Genomic DNA, 21,438 nt, shown 5'->3' with positions numbered 1-21,438 from the left:
CAGCCAACTACTTTCACCCAAAACATCTTTTCATATCTTTTTAAAAGTTGCTGTTTCTGTTCTTGTAGCCACTAATACTAAAGTTACCATTTAATCATATTTCATAAAGTATGTATACATTATCACAACTTAAAAGTAAGCTGATAGCACGATCATATGATCCCCGTGAAAGCAGGGCTCCTCTGTTTAAAATCTGTGTATTTTTCTCATTTACTTGAAGCTCAGGGACTGTTCTCTCTACCCCCACCCCAGCCTTCAAGCCCAGGTTGATCTTCCTTCCTCACAAAAAAGATTCTTACACAAACAACCTGTCCAACCAAAATCTTTTCCAGATAAACATATGTTTCCTGCTGAGAACTAAAAGAATCCTGCCCTTTAGTTTGGCTTATTCCATTTCCCTTTTGATTTTTTTTTCTCTCTTATCCACTGGTAGACTTCTAAAGTCCCTTTTAAGCTCTCAAGTTCTGGTTTCATGATTTTGGAAAAATCTTAAAGGATATTAGCCATGAGGAGTATGCTGCCGAGTCATTTCCTTCTCCAAGTGCATGGTGGAGAGAAAGCTCTGCTGCCTTCTTCATGTTTCTGATTCAACATGATTTTTAAAACTGCTGTACTGTTGCTCACTGTAAACAGACTAATTTGAAATCCAACACCAAAGATTAACCACCTTTATCACAAAACCAAGGTGAGAGCTTTGAACCTCGGCCACCATTTTTTGATAGTTTTTTTTTTTTTTTTTTGAAGAGGTTGGGGGGTGAGGGGAGGGAACTTAGAGGACAGGTCAATAGGTGCAGCAAACCACCATGGTACACGTATACTTATGTAACAAACCTGTACGCTCTGCACATGTATCCCCCCCACTTTTTTTTTATTAAGAAGAAATAAAGGAAAAAAAAAAAGAAAAAGGTAAAGGGGATCACGGTGGCTCACGCCTATTATCTCAGGACTTTGGGAGGCTGAAGTGGGAGGATCACTTGAGGCCAGGAGTACAAAACCAGTCTGGACAATATAGCGAGGGACTCTGGAAGTCATGTATTCTTTCTGTGCCTGGTGGCAGGCTTTTCTGGAAATGGAAAAGGCTGAGTCAAATAATCAGTGAAGTTCCTTCTAGCTCTTAAGAGTCCATGATCCCAGTGAAACTAGCGTTACTGCTGGGCGCAGTGGCTCGTGCCTGTAATCCCAGCACTTTGAGAGGCCAAGGCAGGAGGACTGCTTGAAGCCAGAAGTTTAAGACCAGCCTGGGCAACAAAGCAAGACCCTCTGTCTATTAAAAAAATAAAGTAAGAAACTAGCTTTCCAGAATGAGGGCAAAATAAAGATATTTCAGAAAACTGAGATTGTTCACTACCAAATACCTTCGCTAAATAAAGAATGTACTTGAAGAGAATCTACTTGAAGAAGGAGGGAAATGTTCGAGGGAAGGTTTGAGCTATACAAGAAAGTGGTATGTTAAAAAATTATAAACATGTAAGTAAATAGAAACAAAGAAGGATGGAATAACTAATAACATCTAGTTAATGGAGCTTCAAAAGAAAAATAAAAAGATATCAAAAATATCAAGGAAATGCACATAAGCCAGGAGGAAAGTGACTGGAGTTAAAAACATTCTAACATCCTTAGATTGCTCAGTAGGAGGGTAAAGTGGTAGCTAACTTTAGACTTAGTTACACAGACATGTTAAAATTCCAAGTATAATCACTTAAAAAAAAAAAAAAAGAGAGAGAGATTCTATCTTCCAAACCAATAGAGGTGGGAAAAAATGGAATTGGTAGAGACAGTGGTAGAGGGAGAATCTCAATAAACTTCTAGAAATAGGAAATCTAACCACCTGTTGTTTATAAAGCACAAACCTAAGACATAGGTAGAAAAAGTAGAAAGTAAATGAATTAAAGAAGATGCAAAGCAGGGCAAATACTAGCCAAAAGACATGCAATGCAGCCACATTAACGTCAGATAAAATACACTGTAAAAGAAAGAATTGCTAGAAATAAAAAGAAGTGATTGTATAATAAAAGGTTTTACCAGGAAAATATAACAGTATATTTGTATATATTCAGTAGCAGAGCTTTAAAGTAAACCAACAAACAGCATTTACTCATTACTGCAGAGCTATACTGTTGCAGAGCTGAGTGGTGTCCTAGGATTACATTCCCTTCTCTAAGCATGCATTCTAGAACACTCTAAAAAGAAAAAAAAATCCAAATGGCAACATTAGCAGCAGCGAATCCATATGGGTCTGCAGCAACTCGATTCTTGCTTCCTTGGAGGAAAGAATTTGGCCAGAGAGGATAAGGTAGAATGAGACCAAGGCAAGTTTTAGAGCAGGAGTTAAAGTATATTAAAAAGTTTGAGAACAGGAATGAAAGGAAGCAAAGTACACGTGGAAGAGGGCCAAGTGGGCAATTTGAGAGATCCGAGGACCCTGTCCGACGCTTGACTTGGGATTTTTACACAATGGCATGGTGCTGAGGTTTGTGTCTCTCCTCCCTTGGTTTTTCCTTGGGGTGGGCTGTCCGCATGTGCAGTGGCCTGCCAGCACTTGGGAAGGGCCGCATGTACAGTGTGTTTACTGAAGCTGTGCACATGTTCATTTGAGGCATTTTTCCCTTACCAATTGAGTGTTCCTAGAGGAAGGTCATACACCAGCTAAACTCCACCATTTTGTCTCTTAGCATGCAAGTTTGAGCCCACTCATCCAACGCCTGAGATCCTATGAGGAAGCTACTGATTGGCCGGGTGCCGCGGCTCACGCCTGTAATCCCAGCATTTTGGGAGGCCGAGGCGGGCGGATCGCGAGGTCAGGAGATCCAGACCATCCTGGCCAACATGGCGAAACCCCATCTCTACTAAAAATATAAAAAATTAGCCAGGCGTGGTGGCACGTGCCTGTAGTCCCAGCTACTCGGGAGGCTGAGGCAGGAGAATCGCTTGAACCCGGGAGGCAGCGATTGCAGTGAGCTGAGATCACGACACCGCATTCTAGCCTGGGCAACAGAGCAAGACTCCATCTCAAAAAAAAAAAAAGGAAGCTGCTGATTAAGAGCTTAAGGTGTTTTCTATCTACTGGGAGTCTGCTTTCCCTGGTGCAAGCTGTGACCAACTAGTATGTTAGTGAGACAGTTTAACAACCACCTGACCATCACCTGATGGTTGCCTGACATTCCTGTGGGGGAGGGGGGCCTCTCCTGCCCCGCTCATATCTGCCTAACTACTCTAACAGCAAGGTCAGATATAGTCCCTATTCTTTTATTCCACTGGCTGTTCAAAATCATACCATGGCTGGCATCTGCTTTTCTATTGACAGAGATATGCTTCATTTGTCTTGGGTAAATACCTAAGAACTGCTGGGTAACAAGGTAGTGGTCTGTTTAGTTCTGTAAGAAACTGCCAGACCATTTTTCAAAGCGGTTGTACCATTTTGAACTCCCACTAAAAATATGAAAAGTTCTAGTGCTCCACAGTCTCACCAACATTTAGTGTTGTTGGTCTTTTTCATTTTAGCCTTTCTAGTGGTATCTCATTGTGGTCTTAATTTGCATATCCCTAAAGCCTAAAATTGCTGAGCATGTTTCTATGTGTGTATTGCCCATTCATATTTCTTTTGAGAAAATGTCTGTTCAAATCTTTTGCTCATTTTTTTAAAATTGGGCTGTTTGTCTTTTCATTGAATCATGACTTTATTTAGGGGGACACAGTCACTGTTTTTCCTATTAAGAAAAGCAACATATGCCTCTACTCTTGATTCCATGGAATTTACCTGATAACTCTTTGCCCAAGACTATGTATGTGTAGACTGAAGGTAAAGAAGGTTTCAGAAAGGTTAGGGATCATGTTTACTTTTTCTGCATACATATTGGAAGACAGCGGGGTAGAGAGACTAAAACCTACAAAATCCCATCTATATAGTATTATTCTGGCCAGCAGATAGACAAAAATCACACTTCTGCCAAGTTTTTATACCGTCTCTAGCTGAATAAGAGAAACTAGTTAAATTTTAATATTTTAAAATTTTAATAAGATAATTCAAATTACATTGTTTCTGCTTCCTCTCTATTTACAATTCCTAGTACATATGGGTTTTTATTTTATTTTCCTGGCGTCTTTAGAATGGGTCTTGTTAGTTTCATTGTCAAGTTCTTTATTAATTGAAACAGATTTGATTTTAGTAACTGCCACTGTAACTAGCCAACTATGACACAGTCCACAAGACACACATTCTAGGATTCCCTGAGGCCCTGAAAACAATGGGTGTGACTATTCTCCATTATCTGAAAGTAATGTACTCAGTTATTGTACAGACTGATTTTTAAAAGAAATTCCTCAAATCCTTCTTTGATCACAAAGACAAAAAACAGTGGACGAGAGCATATGCTCTCTAACTGTAAAGCATTTATAAATGTTGCTTCACCATCTGTCTTTGAGAAACAGAAGGTTGCCTCAGTTCTATAGGTTTCTATTTAAGCTGTTACCCAAAACTTACAAATTGGTTCCATAACATGAACATAGTAATCCTGATGAAAATGGTATAAAAATCTGTGCCCTTTCTGGTCTTCCAGTCTACTTTTTCTGTTTCATGTTTGTATTGAAGAAGAGGGTAGGAGCCAGTTTCACTTGATTTGCAAGGAATGAAACCTTTCATGCTTCCTTCTATTCTCCAGACCAACAGAAACTCATGCAAAATGCTAGGAGTCCCTAAAACAATTCAGAGGTAATTCCCTCTTGCTTTAATTTTGTTTCCTTTAAGAACTTATTTTTAACCTTTGGCCTTGACTGTGGAACACAGGATAATGATGGAATGTCAACTATGACATGCAGAATTCTTTAAACCATCTAAGCAAAAAAAGAAAAAACTATAGTTACACATATCTTGCTCCACCTCTCCTCCAAAAAAAGGTATTTTAAAGAGACAGAGTAAAAGCTAGCTACAGGGAAAAAAAAATGTTTTTAACTTTCATAGGCAATGATTGAATTTCAGAATCAAACCAGTGGGGAATACTTTCCGTGATTGATAGACACAGAAATTTTTCATTTTCCCAAAACAAGAGCTCCCACTAAAGCATTTTTGGTGTTTAAGGGCCAGGTTAAAGCTTTACTCAGACATCGAAGTAAAGTAGATCAATTATCAAAAAATCTATGTTGATAAGGTCCTACAACAAACCACCCCAGGCTCAAATAAGACAGTAAGAAAGTTTAAGCTATTCTCAGCATCTGGTAGAGACTGGTTATATGGTGAGGACTTAAAAGAGGAAAGCTCTTCACTTTGTAAACCAAAAATAAAATTTTAAGCTCCCCCTACTGACTGAATGGACCCCTTCTCAACCAAGGGGATTAAAAAAAACCCCTGAAAAACTAGTGAAAGCCATGACGCAAAGAGGGAGTCAGACATGCCTCATTATATCCTCTCCCTTTTGGAGTTTAGACTCAACTGACCAGCATTAACACTAAAATAGAGACCTAAAACCGACAGAATAGACCCTTATTGTTACAAAGGCTAGAGTGCAGAGCACCTATAATCCCAGCACTTTCGGAGGGTGAGGCAGGTAGACTGCTTGATCCCAGGAGTTTGAGACCAGTCTGGGTAACATGGTGAAACCCTGTCTCTACAAAAATACCAACTCAACCTGACTCTGGTATAGCATCGTGTGAGATACATATATATATATATATATATGTGTGTATATATATATGTGTGTGTGTGTGTGTGTGTATCTATCTATCTATCTATCTATCTATCTATCTATATATATATATTTGTGGAGATGAGGTTTCACCATGTTGCCCAGGTTGGTCTCAAATTCCTGGTCTTAAACGATCCACTTGCCTCAGTCTCCCAAAGTGCTAGGATTATAGGTGTGAGCCACCACACTCAGCTAGCATCACATGATAGATAAAGGTAACAGCTGGGTGAAGTGGCTCATGCCTGTAATTGCAGCACTCCAGGAGGCTGAGGCAGGTGGATCACTTGAGCCCAGGAGTTTGAGACCGGCCTGGGTAACATGATGAAACCCTGTCTCTACAAAAATACAAAAATTAGCTGGGCATGGTGGTGCATGCCTGTAGTCCCAGCTACTTGGGCAGCTGAGGCAGAAGGATTACTTAAGCCCAGAAGGTTGAAGCTGCAATGAGCCATTGTCACGCCACTGCACTCCAGCCTGGGAGACAGAGTGAGACCCTGTCTCAAAAACAAACAAACAAAACAACCAAAGAAGAAAATCAAAATATTTTATCCCAAAATATGTTTCTCTGCCATATTTTGAAATGACCCTGCAAAGCATCTTTTTGTGGAGGAAAATTTGCATCCGTAAAGAATCTCTTTAACATAACTAGATCTTTCCTCTTCCAGGTCCTCCCAATCCTAAAGAGATTAACTGTTGAGTCTAGCACTTTTCCTAGGTCTATATAGGAAACATTTGCCATCTATTGTCTCTAAGGGCTGACACCTATGAGACTTCATCTACATAATAAGAATCTCAGCCTCCACAACCCCTTAGCTTAACCCAGACACTCCTTTCTATTGATTCTAAGTCCTTAGATAATAACTAATTTATCCTTTCAACTAACTGCCAATAAGCAGATCTTTGAATCCACCTGTAACCTATAAGCACCCTCCCCCATACAACTCCCCACCCCTTGCTTCAAGTTGTCCTGCCTTTCCAGACCAAACCAATGTATACCTCACATGTACTGATTGATGTCTTATGTCCCTCTGAAATGTATAAAATCAAGCTGTAACCCAACCACCCTGGGCACATGTTCTCAGGATCTCTTGAGACTGTGCCTTGGGCTGTGGTCACTCATATTTGGCTCAGAATAAACCTCTTCAAATATTTTAGAGTTTGACTCTTTGTCGACAACTGCCTTCAAAGAGTGCACGTATTTCCCCATTACAAACAGTTTCTAATCCACTTTGGTAAATTGCATTCCTGAAGCAGTAAATTATGAGAGATGAAAAAGTTGAATTTTCTCAGACGAAACTTTCCACATTTTCTTGTAGTTGTATGAGAAAATTCCTCTGTGAATACAAGGACAAGGCACTTTATACTATAATTGTAGGTGAAAATTTTTTGAACAGAAACCATTTTAAAATAAGCTATAGCCTTCTAATGTAAAGCTGTATAAATTACAGAAAACTTTCTCCTTCCAGTATTTGTGGCAAACTCTAAACAAAACAGAAATCTTCACATAAGACCTCTTGGACTTTCCTCAGGCAAAATTACCATCCAAGACTAAAGAGAAATTACCCTAGATCAAAGCATTATTAAGAAGTAAGACTTGTGATGAAAACATTCCTACTGAATTTTGTCCATACTTGTGAAAGAGCTAAGAGTCTTACTTCAGCAATGACAAGCTCAGTGTGAACTGAAAACTTTATTCTGGATCATGTTTCTGGTGTCTGTGTTTGGGATTAATAACTAAGAAAATTCTGACATTAAAAAAATTGTTTTCATTGAAGGTGATGGCAAACACATTGCACAACAGGGAAGGTGACAGCTTGGCAGTGTGTGTAGGCCATGGGTAGAAGGAACAAGCAGCGACATGTAAATGTTCCTCTACATGAAGAAGCCAAATGAAAGTGTTCCAGGTTGCACCTTGGACTGCTTCCCACAGACCTGGAAGTCAAATGTGGCTGGAGATCTCCAGAAAGAAGAGAACATGGTTATTGTATTAGTCTGTTCTCACACTGCTGTAAAGACATACCTGAGACTGGGTAATTTATAAAGAAAAGAAGTTTAATTGACTCACAGTTACACATGGCTGGAAAGGCCTCAAGAAACTTACAATCATGGCAGAAGGGGAAGCAGGCATGTCTTACATGGCAGCAGGTGAGACAGAGAGTGTGTGGGAGAAGTGAAGGGAGAAGAGCCCCTTATAAAACCAACAGATCTCATGAGAACTCACTCAATATCACAAGAACAGCATGGACGAAACCACCCCCCATGATCTAATCACCTCCCACCAGGTCTCTAGTCAATACTTGGGGATTAGAATTCAAGATGAGGTTTAGGTGGGGACACAAAGCCTAACCACATCATTCCAGCCCTGGCCCTTCCCAAATCTCATATCTTTTCACATTTCAAAACCAATCATGGCTTCCCAACAGTTCACCAAAGTCTTAACTCATTTCAGCATTAACTCAAAAGTCCACAGTCCAAAGTCTCATCTGAGACAAGGCAAGTCCCTTCTGCCTATAAGCCTGTAAAATCAAAATCAAGTTAGTTCCTTCCAAGATACAATGGTGGTACAGGCACTGGATAAGAACACCCATTCCAAATGGGATAAATTGGCCAAAACAAAGGGGCTACAGGTTGATGCAAGTCAAAAATCCAGTGGGGCAGTTATTAAATCTTAAAGCTCCAAAATGATCTCCTTTGACTCCATGTCTCACATCTAGGTCATGTGGATACAAGGGGTGGGCTCCCATAGCCTTGGGCAGCTCTACCACTGTGGCTCTGCAGGGTATATCCCCCTCCTGGCTGCTTTCATAGGCTGGTGTTGAGTGCTTGTGGCTTTTTCAGGTGCCCAGTGCAAGCAGATGGATTTACCATCTGCTGGGGTCTGGAGGATGGTGGCCCTTTTCTCACAGCTGAACTAAGCAGTGCCACGGTGGGGTCTCTGTGTGGGGGCTCCAACCCCTCACTTTCCCTTTGCACTGCCCTAGCAGAGGTTCTCTATGAGGGCTTTGCCCCTGCAGCAGACTTCTGACTGGACATCCAGGTATTTCCATACATCCTCTGAAATCTCAGCTGAGGCTCCCAAACCTCAATTCTTGACTTTTGTATACCTGCAGGCCCAACACCACATGGAAGCCACCAAGGATTGGGGCTTGCACCCTCTGAAGCAAACAGCCTGAGCTGACTTTTTAAAAATTTGCCCATTTTAGCCATGACTGGAGTGGCTGGGAAGCAGGGTACTAAGTCCTAGGCTGCACAGAGCAGCAGGGTCCTGGGCCCAGTCCATGAAACCACTTTTCCCTTCTAGGCCTCGGGGCCTGTAATGGGAGGGGCTGCTGCAAAAGTCCTTCACATGCCCTAGGAACATTTTCCCCATTGTCTTGGTGATTAACATTTGGCTCCTTGTTACTTACGCAAATTTCTGCAGCCAGCTTTAATTTCTCCCCAGAAAATGGGTTTTTCTTTTCTACTGCATTGTCAGACTGCAAATTTTCCAAACTTCTATACTCTGCTTCCCTTTTAAATAAGTTCCAATTTCAGATCATCTCTCTCAAGTTCAAAGTTCCACAGATCTCTAGGGTGTGGGCAAAATGCTGTCAGTCTCTTTGCTAAAGCATAGCAAGAGTCACCTTTACTCCAATTCCCAAGAAGTTCCTCATCTCCATCTGAAGCTACTTCTCCCTGGACTCCATTGTCCATGTCGCTATCAGCATTTTGGTCAAAGCCATTCAATAAGTCTCTAGGAAGTTCCAAACTTTTCCACATCTTCCTATATTCTTCTGAGCCCTCCAAACTGTTCCAACCTCTGCCTGTTATCCAGCTCCAAAGTTGCTTCCATATTTTTGGGTATCTTTATAGCAGTACCCCACTCTATCAGTACCAATTTACTATATTAGTCCATTCTCACACTGCTATAAAGACATACTGAAACTGGGTAATTTATAAAGAAAAGAGGTTTAATTGACTCATAGTTCCACATGGCTAGGGAGGCCTCAGGAAACTTATAATCATGGCATAAGGGGAAGCAGATATGTCTTACATGACAGCAGGTGAGAAAGAGAGTATGTGGGAGAAGTGAAGGGGGAAGAGCCCCTTATAAAACCATCAGTTCTCGTGAGAATTCCCTCACTATCACAAGAACAGCAAAGAGCAAACTGCTCCCATGATCCAATCACCTCCCACCAGGTCTCTCCCTCAACACCTGGGGATTATGATTCAAGATGAGATTTGGGTGAGGACACAAAACCTATCCATATCAGTTATTATATTTAAAAATTCATGACCTTCATTAATAAGGTGAATGGATCTGGGGTCGAGGACAACAGACTTTTACATTGCTGAATGTGCCACACATCCCCAACTGTATTATAGCCCCACCTATCATTTAAGGCCCTCCCAATCCTGAACCAGCACTCCCTTTAGGTGTCAACCATCACTCCCCTACACAAACAAACCTATGTTCCTGTCAAACTGATGCCCTCACCATTCATAGCCCATCTCCTGCCAGGATTCCACTCATGTCACTCCTCCCACTTGGAATGGCTTCTCACTTTTCTAAAGCCAAACCTCATAAAAGTGCTTCCTCATCCAAAGGTATCTGCAGACCACTCCAGCTAATGGCATGCTCTTTCTTACTCAGTCACTGCATCATTCTATTGCCCTTCTGTGCACGGTACTCCAGGTAACTGTCACGATCTGGCACAGTCATTCAACTGTCTGTGTATTTCTGCCTTTTACCCTCAAGTAGACCAAAAATTTGTAGGAGATCAGAGCTAGATTTTACAGTTTTGGATCCTCCAGGGTCTGTCGTAATGAGTGTCCAATACCCATCTTATTAGTGTATCCCTGCAGATTATTGATGTGCCACTGAAAATTATAAAATGCAAGTTAAAGATCTCTTGTCCCCGTTTCTTAGTCTCTAGGATACTGTGGTTCAGTGGGACTGCCTGCTTTTCAAAGGCCATCTCAGTGTAGCAACTGTGGTGTAAGAGTGATGCTGTGAAAGGGCCTTGCCTCGGAATCACCTATGAATTTTAACTTAGGCTCCAACACATCTTCACACGTAAATTTGGGCAACTTCATTCATTCATTCAATCAAACATTTGTAGCATAGCAAATTTATACCGGACATTCTTAAGAAATATGGATATTTGAATGACAGGATCAAAGAAAATAAAAATAAAAGAAATACAGATATAAGCATGAATGAGATCAAGTATGTGGGGGTGTGTGCATACGTGTGTGCACACACATAATGTATAAACCAGGCCCTCAATAAGATTAGCCTACTGCAATGTTTCTGCTTCTTTTAAAAAAAATGGGGATGCCTAGACTCTATCCCACAGTAAGTAAGAATATCTGGGGTGGGCAACAAGAATCTACACTTTTAAATCCTGAAAACCAGTGGTCTAGGAGGAAGGACACACAACTAGACGGTTAAAATACAAAAGCAATTGCTGCTTTATCTCCAGTATGCATGTCCAGGGTGCTGTGGGGCAGAGGGACCCCCGATGGTGCCCGGGGAATCTGGAGCACATACAGAGACAGTGATGCCTGAATTGAACCTAAAGCCTAAGCAGCAGAGTACTAGAGGGAGGATGAGGGGAACGGGGTATATACTAGAAAGTACTAGAGGGAGAATGAGGGGAACAGGATATATTCTAGAAAGGTGCTTTGCAGCAATCTGCACCCTGCTATGCTCCTACTTAAAAAGCATTTAATTGGCCAGGCACTGTGGCTCACGCCTATAATCCCAGCACTTTGTAAGGCCATGGCAGGAGGGGAGGATCGCTTGAGGCCAGGAGTTTGAGGCCAGCCTGGGCAACATAGAGAGACCCTGTCTCTACAGAAAAACAAAATATTTAGCTGGGCATGGTAGTACATGCCTATAGCCCCAGCTACTCATGAGGCTGAGGTGGGAAGATCACTTGAGCCCAGGAGTTCGAGGTTGCAGTGATCCATTGTTGCGCCACTGTACTCCAGCCTGGGTGACAGAGTAAGACCCTGTCTCAAAAAAACAAAAAACAAAAACATTGAATGGCTGCCTTCAGGCCTTAGGGCAAAGTCCTCAAAACTATACACCTGCATCTGGCACTACCCACTATCAAGACCTTATCACTCATCCATCCCTGTCTAGCCTGGGGTCCACACCTGCCCTAATCTCTTTCTTCCTCTCCTCTCCTAACTCTCCCATCCACCTCACACTAAAATGACTTACTTTGGAGATGCCTTACTGGAGAAGCCTCCCTAATCCCTTCAAGTCAAGGCTTGGTGCCCTCCTTACAGCTCCCCTAGCACCAAGACCAAAGCTCTTACCACACAGCACCACCTATGCCTGCTTAGACCAAGGACCAGGGGGTTAGGGGATATCACCAATGCCTAGCATACAAGTAGCAGTGAAAGAATGAATGGGTAGATTGGTGTTTCCATAAATTAGTAAGAAGTAGAAAAGAGCTTGCCACATTCAGGTACCTACAAGTAGTACACTACTGCTAGAACTACAATGAATATGAAGGTCTGGTAGGAGATGAGATTTAAAAAGCAGGTCAATACCAGCCTAGGAAGGGAAGGAGGAGTATAGGCCTTCAGAGATCATAGCAAGGCACTGAAAAGTTTTCCTACGGGGCTGCAATATTATCAGATTTCATAAATTCTCTCAAGATAAGGCCAAGAGAGAGCCTAAGTCACAAGGCTGACTTGTGATGATTATGCAAGAGTATGCACATAAGAACAATTTGTACATTATAAAAGTTATGTATACATGTAGGAATATTTTCTGCAACTCCTAGCTATTAAGTCCATTCAATCTTATAGTGTTTAGTTTTCACATCCCTATCAATATTGCCTGAAACTGATTGTATATATTGATGACAAAAGGTGACAAAAGTGCAGAGAGCTCAGGAAATACAGTCACTTATAAGGGAACCATGGGGGACAAAAAGCATCCTGGGAACTCCACTCCTCTTTCACAACAAACCAATTATACACCTGGGGTCACTGATAAAGGCACTACTAGATAATGGCTACTATAAACTAACATTAGCAATGGCAACCTGTGTTGAGGCTCTGTTTTCAGTTCAATGGTCTGTGTATTTATCTGATAGCAATAATTCACACCAGAGATTTACATAAATCAAACTAATTTCAAATCTTTAGCCTATCTAGGGCCAGAGTGGGTGGGGAGCTTCAGGTCCCTTACCCAAGTTCCTAAGCAAGTTACCCACTCCTCCAGCCCATGGCAGTGGCACTGGGGGAAATGGGGTTGATAGAGAGATATTGCAACTGACGCTTAGCCTCTTTAAGGAACTCTAAGCAAACTTCTACAGGACTCCTGAAACATTTTTGGAAGTGAGTTTCTTAGAAGGGCTGGAGATCTGCAGATAGATCAAATGAATTGTGCTTACTCAATCTGTTCCCAAGGCTAACTGTAGTGGTCATGCGATCTTTTGGGAAAATAAAACACTGCTGTATGTGCCCAGAGATCTTCACAAGCAACCAAACAAACAAAACACAGAGAGAGTCCTTTAGCTAGGCACAGGCTGCCTGCTGATTCACACTGCACTTGAGCTGTGGAATGAAGTTAGGATGAGTCTGCCGGGGAGACAGACTGAAGCTGAGACCCTCTGGCAGCAAATTCCCTCCCTGAGCCTATGCGTCTCCCCGCAGGTGAGGGTGACTCACATAGTGGTATTGTTCTTGTTTATACTGATGCCCACATAAATGAGGTACAGTTTCTGTCTGTGGGACAGGCTCCAACAACACTTTCATCATTCTAAGGGAGGAAAAAGGAGGAGTAGCATGTGCCAAGCTCCCAGCATCCCCCACACAACCAATGCTCAGAGTGGCCAGGCCCAGAGTGGCTCTGGGCTTCTGAAAGGAGAAGAGCAGACACAGACACGTGTAGTCACACACATACACGCACACACACACGTACAGAGGCACACATGACCCATTTAGTACAAAGGGCAGAAGGATAAAAATCCACCTTGGAATAACCATGGTCCAAGCTCCAACCAACCAGTCTGGTTGAAAGAGGCTGCAGGTGCTGGCCCACTCACCACGGAATGCCCATGAGCAGGGCCAGGGCCACTGAATCCCACAGAAGCTGAGTATTTTGTGCAGTGAGGGTGACTCTATCACTGGGCTGTCAGTCACAGGCCTTCAACTGGCATCTCTGGCAAAACAGGGCAAATTGTGGTAGCCAAACCTCAACACATAAGGAGTAAGGCAGACACCACCCTTCGACTCTTCCCTTATGCTACACATCCAAGTACACAATGTATACATAATACATAGACAGAAATATTTAGTGTACATGTGGGTTCAAAGTACTTGTGGATTTGTCTAATTTTAGCTCTTTTGCTTTGTTTATAACAAGTTCTCTATGTCCCAGGTTTTTAAAATGACAACTTAACCCTCTAGGATAGTGCATCTGTGTAGCCCAGAACGCCCCACCAGGTCTCAAACACTAACAGTCAGGGACCCTGGGCAGAGTTCTAAAGGAGGAGCTTAATTAAAAGTCTGTTTTCTAGATTATATTGCATTGATTCTCAACTGGAGGTGATCTTGCTCCCCAGTGGACATTTTGCAATGTCTGGAGACATTTTTGTTGTCACAACTAGAGAATGTGGGTGCCACTTATGTCATCTGGAGGGTAGAAGCCAGGAATGCTGCTAAGCATCTTCCAACACACACAACAGCTTCTACAACAAGAATTATCTGGCCCAAAATACCAAGCATGCTGGGGTTGAGAAACCCTTCAGTATTTGGATTCTGTAGGAGATTTCATTTGGGAAAGAAAGAATTTTGTTGCTTAAAAATAAATGAAAACTTCTGCTCTAGGACACCTGCCTGGACCCAAACTATTCAACAAAGTGATACTCTTTTGTGTTGTGCTTCAAAGTCCCTAAAATAGCATAGATTTTCACATCAGACATTTGCTTTTAAATTCCTATAATAGGTCTTTGGGAGAACAACTAGCTGCCCTAAAGCGCTAAGACTCTGTCTTTATTTCTATTAAACACAGGGAGGGAATCAAGGGCCCTGTCACCACCTAGTAGGACATAACGGCAGGCAAGCCTCCTACTGAGCCAGTGTAGGATCTAAATAACTTCAACCCAAGAAGGAAATCAGATGGAGGCAGAGTGTTTCTCTTGATAGGAAGCCACGGGTGTTGGCTTCAGAGAGATCAACTCGCCATCAGTCAGGCAAAGAGCCAGAAGTTAAATATATTGCTTCTTTTAGGAAGGAAAGTGAACAATGGCCTCTTCATTTGAAACCACAATGGGAATTTAGGAAGGGGCAGAGTATAATTCCCAGGATGGAAAATGGCCCAGGCTTCAGAATTAACATCCTTACTCTCATGGGACAGACTCCAAGAGGCTTTTCAACCATTGCTGTTGAACTATCTATTTACTAATTCCAAGGCAAAACCCAGGGTCCAACTGGCACTTTTTGATGCTGAAAGGTCAGGGAAATAAAAACTGCTGGCCAATCTATCACAAAGGCCTCCTGCTACTCTGAGGTTCTCTGAGACATTTCTCAGCAAAAGAAACCAGCACCTACCCCATGCTTAGGCTAACCTTTCCAGGGATAAAGACAGAGCCACACGATACATCTCTCTAAGTCCACTTTATCTTCCATCCCATCCTTCATCCAGAGGTTGTCAGGCCTTCTTCCTGGAGATTCCAAAGATCCTCTGTGCATTAATCATTACACATCGTGCTAAAATTTATTTTGATGATCACCTTCCTCTCCAGACAGTGAGTTTATTGAAAATAGGAATTCTGTCACATTCACCTCCTTATCACCAGGACACAGGCTAGAGCCTGGCCCATGAGGGACTTAATACTGAATGAATGAGCTCGACCTGTCAGATGCAAAACATGCTTCAGAGTATAATCTAATATAGTTTTGGTAAAACTCTACATGACAAGTACACTTACATCGTACGTGCAGTTTGCAGTGTGTGAATGTAAGCGCAGAACTCACTTTAGTAAACACAGCCACAGAACAGGATAGACCTGCGCAGATGTTAGATCTTTCTCCAGGAACTATTCCGTATGTAAGACAATTGCAGGGTGGAGAAATTCAATAAACAGCTGGCCTTTGAGATGGCAAAAGACACACTCTCCCTTTTCAAGTTTAATCAGTAGGTCAGATGACCTGGCCTCTACCCTTTCAGTAGAGAAATAACCCATGTGTGGCTTCCTCATCAGTCCTTGAAAACATCCACAAAAACCCTCATACACAAATGTACTGCAAACACAAACACACTTTCAACCTAGATGTTTTCATTTAGACTGTTAAGCCTTGTCAGATAGAGATTCAATCACACTACAGGCTCCTCTTTCTTTCTTTTTTTAAAGGAAACAGTCTATTAGGACCATTCCCAAGCTGTGTGTCTAAGACTTCAAAGACAGAAGGAGGACTCCTTATAAGGAACCATAAATCTACAATGCACCAAGCACTGTCTCCGAATGAAAAATAAGCCTAACATATGCACAAGTGCCGATATACTTTCATAAATTAAAAATATGCCCAATTAAAGGCTTCACTAATTTACCAAATTTTTGTCATTAAGTATATGATTAGTCAAAAGAGACACAAAGTACAACACTTAGGTGAGGCTCTGGGAAATTTAGCAGTGGTCTTCTTAATCAAAAGGGTTAGAAACCACTAAGCCAGACCATTTGAAGAGCAGTCTCTGCTGTGCTGCACTGACAGCCCTAGAAATCAGGTGCTTTCAGTTAAAGCCCTAGAAATCAGGTGCTTTCAGTTAGACCAACAATGAGAGCTCAAAAAAGACCGCCAAAAAGAGGGAAAGTAATGACGGTTCTATGTGGTAAAGCAATTGGGTCCAGACAACAGGAAGGAAGCCCTTTCAAAGACGTCTATCCTTAAGGAGCAGTCTCGCCTCTGGAAATAATGATTAATAAAGGGACTTTAAAATCCCATTCTATACTGGACCCCAACCCCTCCTCTTCAAGTATGAAGGATACTGAAAAAGGGATGGAGAGAGAAGACAGAATTTCAGGGCTCCTATGTACAGCCCTTATAAATATCATATCAGTCTAGGTCCCCTCTAATTTTTAAGTGTTAAAACAATGTTGGGTGGCAATTTTCCTGTTGTCCCAGAATTTCACCTGAGGACAAAGGCACAAAGTACCCCACAATTTAAGTTCTGAGAGCCTCCTCCCATAAGGGCTTCCTGGAGACAGGACCGCTAAGCCCTTCCACTACTCTGGACTACTTCCTCAAAGTCAGAATGAGTCTGAGAAAGGAAAGGGGTGTTGGCCTTAGAGGGCATGCAGTGTTTCAGGTGGCAGACTATTCTCTCCCCAACAGAAAGCTAAGGGCAGGAGACTCCAACGGGTGTTGCCACAATGTGAGTTTACTTACTATCACTCTTGGGGGAGGGGGAAAGGGACAGGAGAGAGAAGCAGGGGTGGGGAGAGGAAAGAGAGAGGAGGGAGAGCTGGGAAGAGGTTAGGGGGTGTTGTATCTCAGGACAAGGCCTCATCATCTTCTTCACGCCCAGCAGCTGAGCCAAGCTGGGAGATATATGCCAAGGAGATCTCAACTGAGTTTGAGACCAAAGTTTTCAACATAAACAAAATCCAATATTAAATACTAACAAGAGATTGTTTTAAAACTGAAAGTGAATAACCCAAGCACCCACTGATGGAAGAATAAACAAACAACATGTGATCTATACTAACAATGGGATATTATTCAGCCTTAAAAAGGGAGGAAATTGACTGGGCATGGTGGCTTACACCTGTAATGCCAGCACTTTGGGAGGCAGAGGCCAGTGGATCACTTGAGCCCAGGAGTTCAAGACTAGCCTGGGCAAATAGCAAAATCCTGTCTCTACAAAAAATACAAAAATTAGCTGGGCTTGGTGGTGCACACCTGTAGTCCCAGCTACTCAGGAAGCTGGGTGGGAGGATGGCTTGAGCCCGGGGGCGGGGCAGAGGTTGCAGTGAGCCAAGATCATGCCACTGCACCAACCAGGGTGACAGTGACACCCCGTCTCAAAAAAAAAAAAAAAAAAAAAGAAAAGAAAAGAAAAGAAAAAAGAGGCAAGGGAGGGGAATCTTGACACATGCTACCACACGGGTGAACCCTGAAGACATTATGCAAAGCAAAACAAGCCAATCACAAAAGGATAAAGACTGTATGATTCCACTTATAGGAGGTACTTAGAGTAGTCAAATCTATAGAGACAGAAAGCAGAATGGTGTTTGCTAAGGGCTGGAGGGAGAGGGAATGGAGAATTAGTATTCAATGGGTATAGAATTTCAGTTTTGCAATATGAAAAGAATTCTGGAGATGGATGGTGGTGATGGTTTTACAATAATGTGAGTGTACCTAATACCACTGGACTATACACTTACAAATGGTTCAGAAGGTAGATTTTTATGTGCATTTTATCACAATTTTTTTAAAAAACTGAAGGTGACAGGAAAGATATGGAACCAGACAAATATGGCATTAAGGGATCCACTACCCAAAGGGAAAGGAAGATTCCACATAGTGTAGCCTAAAGTAAATGCTGTCAAAAATTCCTGTAAAATCCCCAAATGACAGTCCTCATTAAATTGATTACATATCTTCATCCTTCAATGGCTAACCCCCTTCCTCAGCTCTCCTAAGGAAATGGAAGTGTGGGTGAAACCTCTTCCACAAATACCACCCCTGAAGTGATCACTTAATGTCAAAGTTGCTGTGGGAGATGGGGGGTAGGGGGACCCTCTGCAACTCTTGTTAAAATGGGAAATGACAGGAACTTCATCTTTTTGCCTTTTCTTTGCCTCACTTTATACCCTCACATATCACCATGTTGGGGAGGGAGAGGTGCACAGGTACACAATAGAACACACACTTCAAATTGCTTTTAAGTTAGTAGGAAAGACAAAATGTGTAGGTGGGGAAAATGTGTGTGTTCAAGCTTCAGTGTTCAGAAGAAGGCAATGACAGAAATGGAGTGAAGACAGTGCTGATATGGGAGGAAAATGACAACTGGGGTCTGAGCCAGAGGAGTTTGAAAGACAGCACAGAACCAGGGCTCACAGGAAAAATGGGGCCTGAAGGTAACCACTGAGAGTGTCCCTGCAGATGAAAGGCCCTATGAGAATGGGCGCCCACTTCTAAGATAGTGAAGAACACAAGAGCCCAGGAAGGAAACAGAGGAAGGACAAAGGGATAGAAACAGAATCAGGATAGTATGGTGCTTGGCAGAGGGGGAATGCTTTTATTCATTATATTCAACATTTCATATTCAAGAGTGTGGGGACAGAAGATGCATGTTTGCTAACTGAAAGATTAAATGGGCCAGGCACAGTGGCTCATGCCTGTAATCCCAGCACTTTGGGAGGCTGAGGCAGGCGGATCACGAGGTTAGGAGTTCAAGACCAGCCCAGCCAGCATGATGAAACCCCGTCTCTACTAAATATACAAAAAACTTAGCCAGTGCAGCCTGGGCAACAGAGTGAGACTCCATCTCAAAAAAAAAAAAAAAAGAATAAATGAAGCCCATGCCGGGCACAGTGGCTCATGCCTGTAATCCTAGCACTTTGGGAGACTGAGGCAGGCAGATCACTTGGGGTCAGGAGTTTAAGACCAGCCTGACCAATCTGGTGAAACCTCGACTCTATCAAAAATACAAAAATTAGCTGGGCATGAGGGTGGGCACCTGTAATCCCAGCTACCAGGGAGGCTGAGACAGAAGAGTAGCTTGAACCTGGGAGGCGGAGGATGTAGTGAGCCAAGGTCACACCACTACACTCCAGCCTGGGTGACAGAGTGAGACTCCATTTCAAAAAAAAAAAAAAAAGATTAAATGAAGCCCATTGAGAGTGCCCAGCACACGACTGGACACAGGAAGCTGGAACTCAGGGGAGAGACCTGGGCTGCAGATATAGACGGAGGAGTGGAGAGCAACAGGCAGAGTGAAATCCCAGACTGAAACAGATGACCAGAGATGTGAATGGGGACAGCGGCGGGCTGAAGATGGATCCCCCAAGGATACAAACTGCAGAGGGTGGTAGAGAAGCCCAAAGATACGAGAAAGGAAGAGAAGGGAAGAATGGGATGATCCAGACTTCAGAGTTGCAGAAGTCAAAAAGTGTGGGCTCTGAGGTGGAAGAGTGATGAGCACTGCCAAACACAACAGAGATGTCCAATAAGATGGGGCCTGGAAACTGCTTACTGGATTTGGCAATATAGATGCCCTCAGTGACCTTATCAAGCGCTACTTGAGCAGAATAGTGGTGAGGGAAGCCAGAGAGCTTAAGTAGCGGCTGGAAGAGAAAATAGAAGGCAATGAAGTGAAGAATTAGTATGTAGGCTGTACTCTCAACATATCCGGATGAAAAAAAGGAGACAAATTAGAAAGTACCCAAGGAGATTTTTAGGAGGAGGAGGCCTGGCCATGTTTACAGATCAGAGAAAGAAAATGAGAGAAGGAAATGGAGAAGTTAAAGAAAGGGAAGCAAAGTTCGTGAGGAAGCACAGGTCTTTAGCAAAAGCAATGACAACTATCCTCTGGAACAGAGGCTAAGGACTCAGGATGGGTGGGAATGCAGATAAAGTCAGTGTAGTTGAGGGAAGTCACTCACACCTGATGCAATTTTCCAGATTAAGTAGGATCTAAGCCACTTGCTTAGAATATAGGCACAGGGTACATGGGCGGGGCGGGGGGGGGGCGCTTAAAAAGAAATGATGAAGGTTGTCATCACTGAAGGGAATGGGAGAAAAGGAGCTGGGGTGCTGGGGACCACCACTCAGAATAGAGGCCAAGGGTTTGCAGTCGTTTGAGGTGCCCAAAGGGAGAACATGAAACAGAACCAAATGCAGCATCACGGTCACACGAAAGATTGCAGAGAAAGGAGAGGTACACTTTGTAATTAGAAAGTGTCTGGGCAAGAGCGAAGCAGGAGCTGAGTAGAAAGTTGGTGGTGAGACGCAGATACAAAACGTTTGTCAAGATAGTTGGCTGCAAAGGGGGGAAAGAAATAGGATGGTAGCTGAGGATACTATGATCAGGTGAAGAATTTTTTTTTTCTGTTTAAATCACCACAGGAGAAGCAGCCAAAGGAGAGCAAGGGACTAAACAAAGTGTGGTCAGTCCAGGTAAATGAACATGTGAGAATGTGTTAAGAGGCCAGAGAGGATGGATCCACCCAGGAAAAGGTGTAGCTTCTGTAGGAAGAGAGGTTCCCTGGCAGCCAGCAGAAAGGAAGAAAAGAGATGGCCACACTGAGGGACAGCAGGCACATAAAGATGGCAGATCTTGCAGGATTTTTTCAGCAGAGTAAGAGAAAGAGAATATGAGTGGGAAAAAAAGTGGGAAGGGGCTTTCAGGTGTAAAAGTTTTAGAATTGCTGAGAAACCAACACAAGAAGAATGCTTCCGTTTTTGCTAAGTATCTGCTTAATGCCAAAAATTTATATGCCATGGGTCCAGCCAGCAACATCCAATCATCTGTGAGATGATTGCTCAGGTCAGGCATTGGCACAGCAGGCATGAAGGAAGATTAAAGGGTCAAGTGACCCCTGGGCATCACTGAGTTAGCACTGCAGGGATGACCCCACAGTCCTGGCTAGAGAGAGCACTGAGAAGATAAGTAGGAGCTTATGGTTCAGATAAATTAGCAGGGGCCAGGTTCAGGTCATATGGGTTCGGTTGAAGTAACATAAGGATGGAGTCATAGAAAAGCAACCCATGTTTCAAATCCAATTGGGGTCTTTTTGTTTATTTTCTC

The 21,438-nt window shown here is 42.8% G+C and overlaps 1 protein-coding gene across 8 annotated transcripts in view, besides 1 other annotated feature; it reads right to left on the bottom strand.

The window, feature by feature from the left end:
* Positions 1-21,438, bottom strand: part of PRKCH (protein kinase C eta) — a 363,509-nt gene that overhangs the window by 117,193 nt on the left and 224,878 nt on the right. The window lies entirely within an intron of this gene.
* Positions 16,406-16,495: a silencer, noted in NCBI's record as "silent region_5820". NCBI's record gives its function as "represses an Ori minimal core promoter by ATAC-STARR-seq in GM12878 lymphoblastoid cells {active_cell/tissue: GM12878}" and the evidence as "EXISTENCE:reporter gene assay evidence [ECO:0000049][PMID:35858748]".

Source organism: Homo sapiens, chromosome 14, assembly GCF_000001405.40.
Source record: "Homo sapiens chromosome 14, GRCh38.p14 Primary Assembly".
In the NCBI taxonomy this organism is placed as follows: domain Eukaryota; kingdom Metazoa; phylum Chordata; class Mammalia; order Primates; family Hominidae; genus Homo; species Homo sapiens.
Note: the sequence above shows the minus strand (reverse complement) of the source record. Positions and strands in the feature narration are given on the sequence as shown.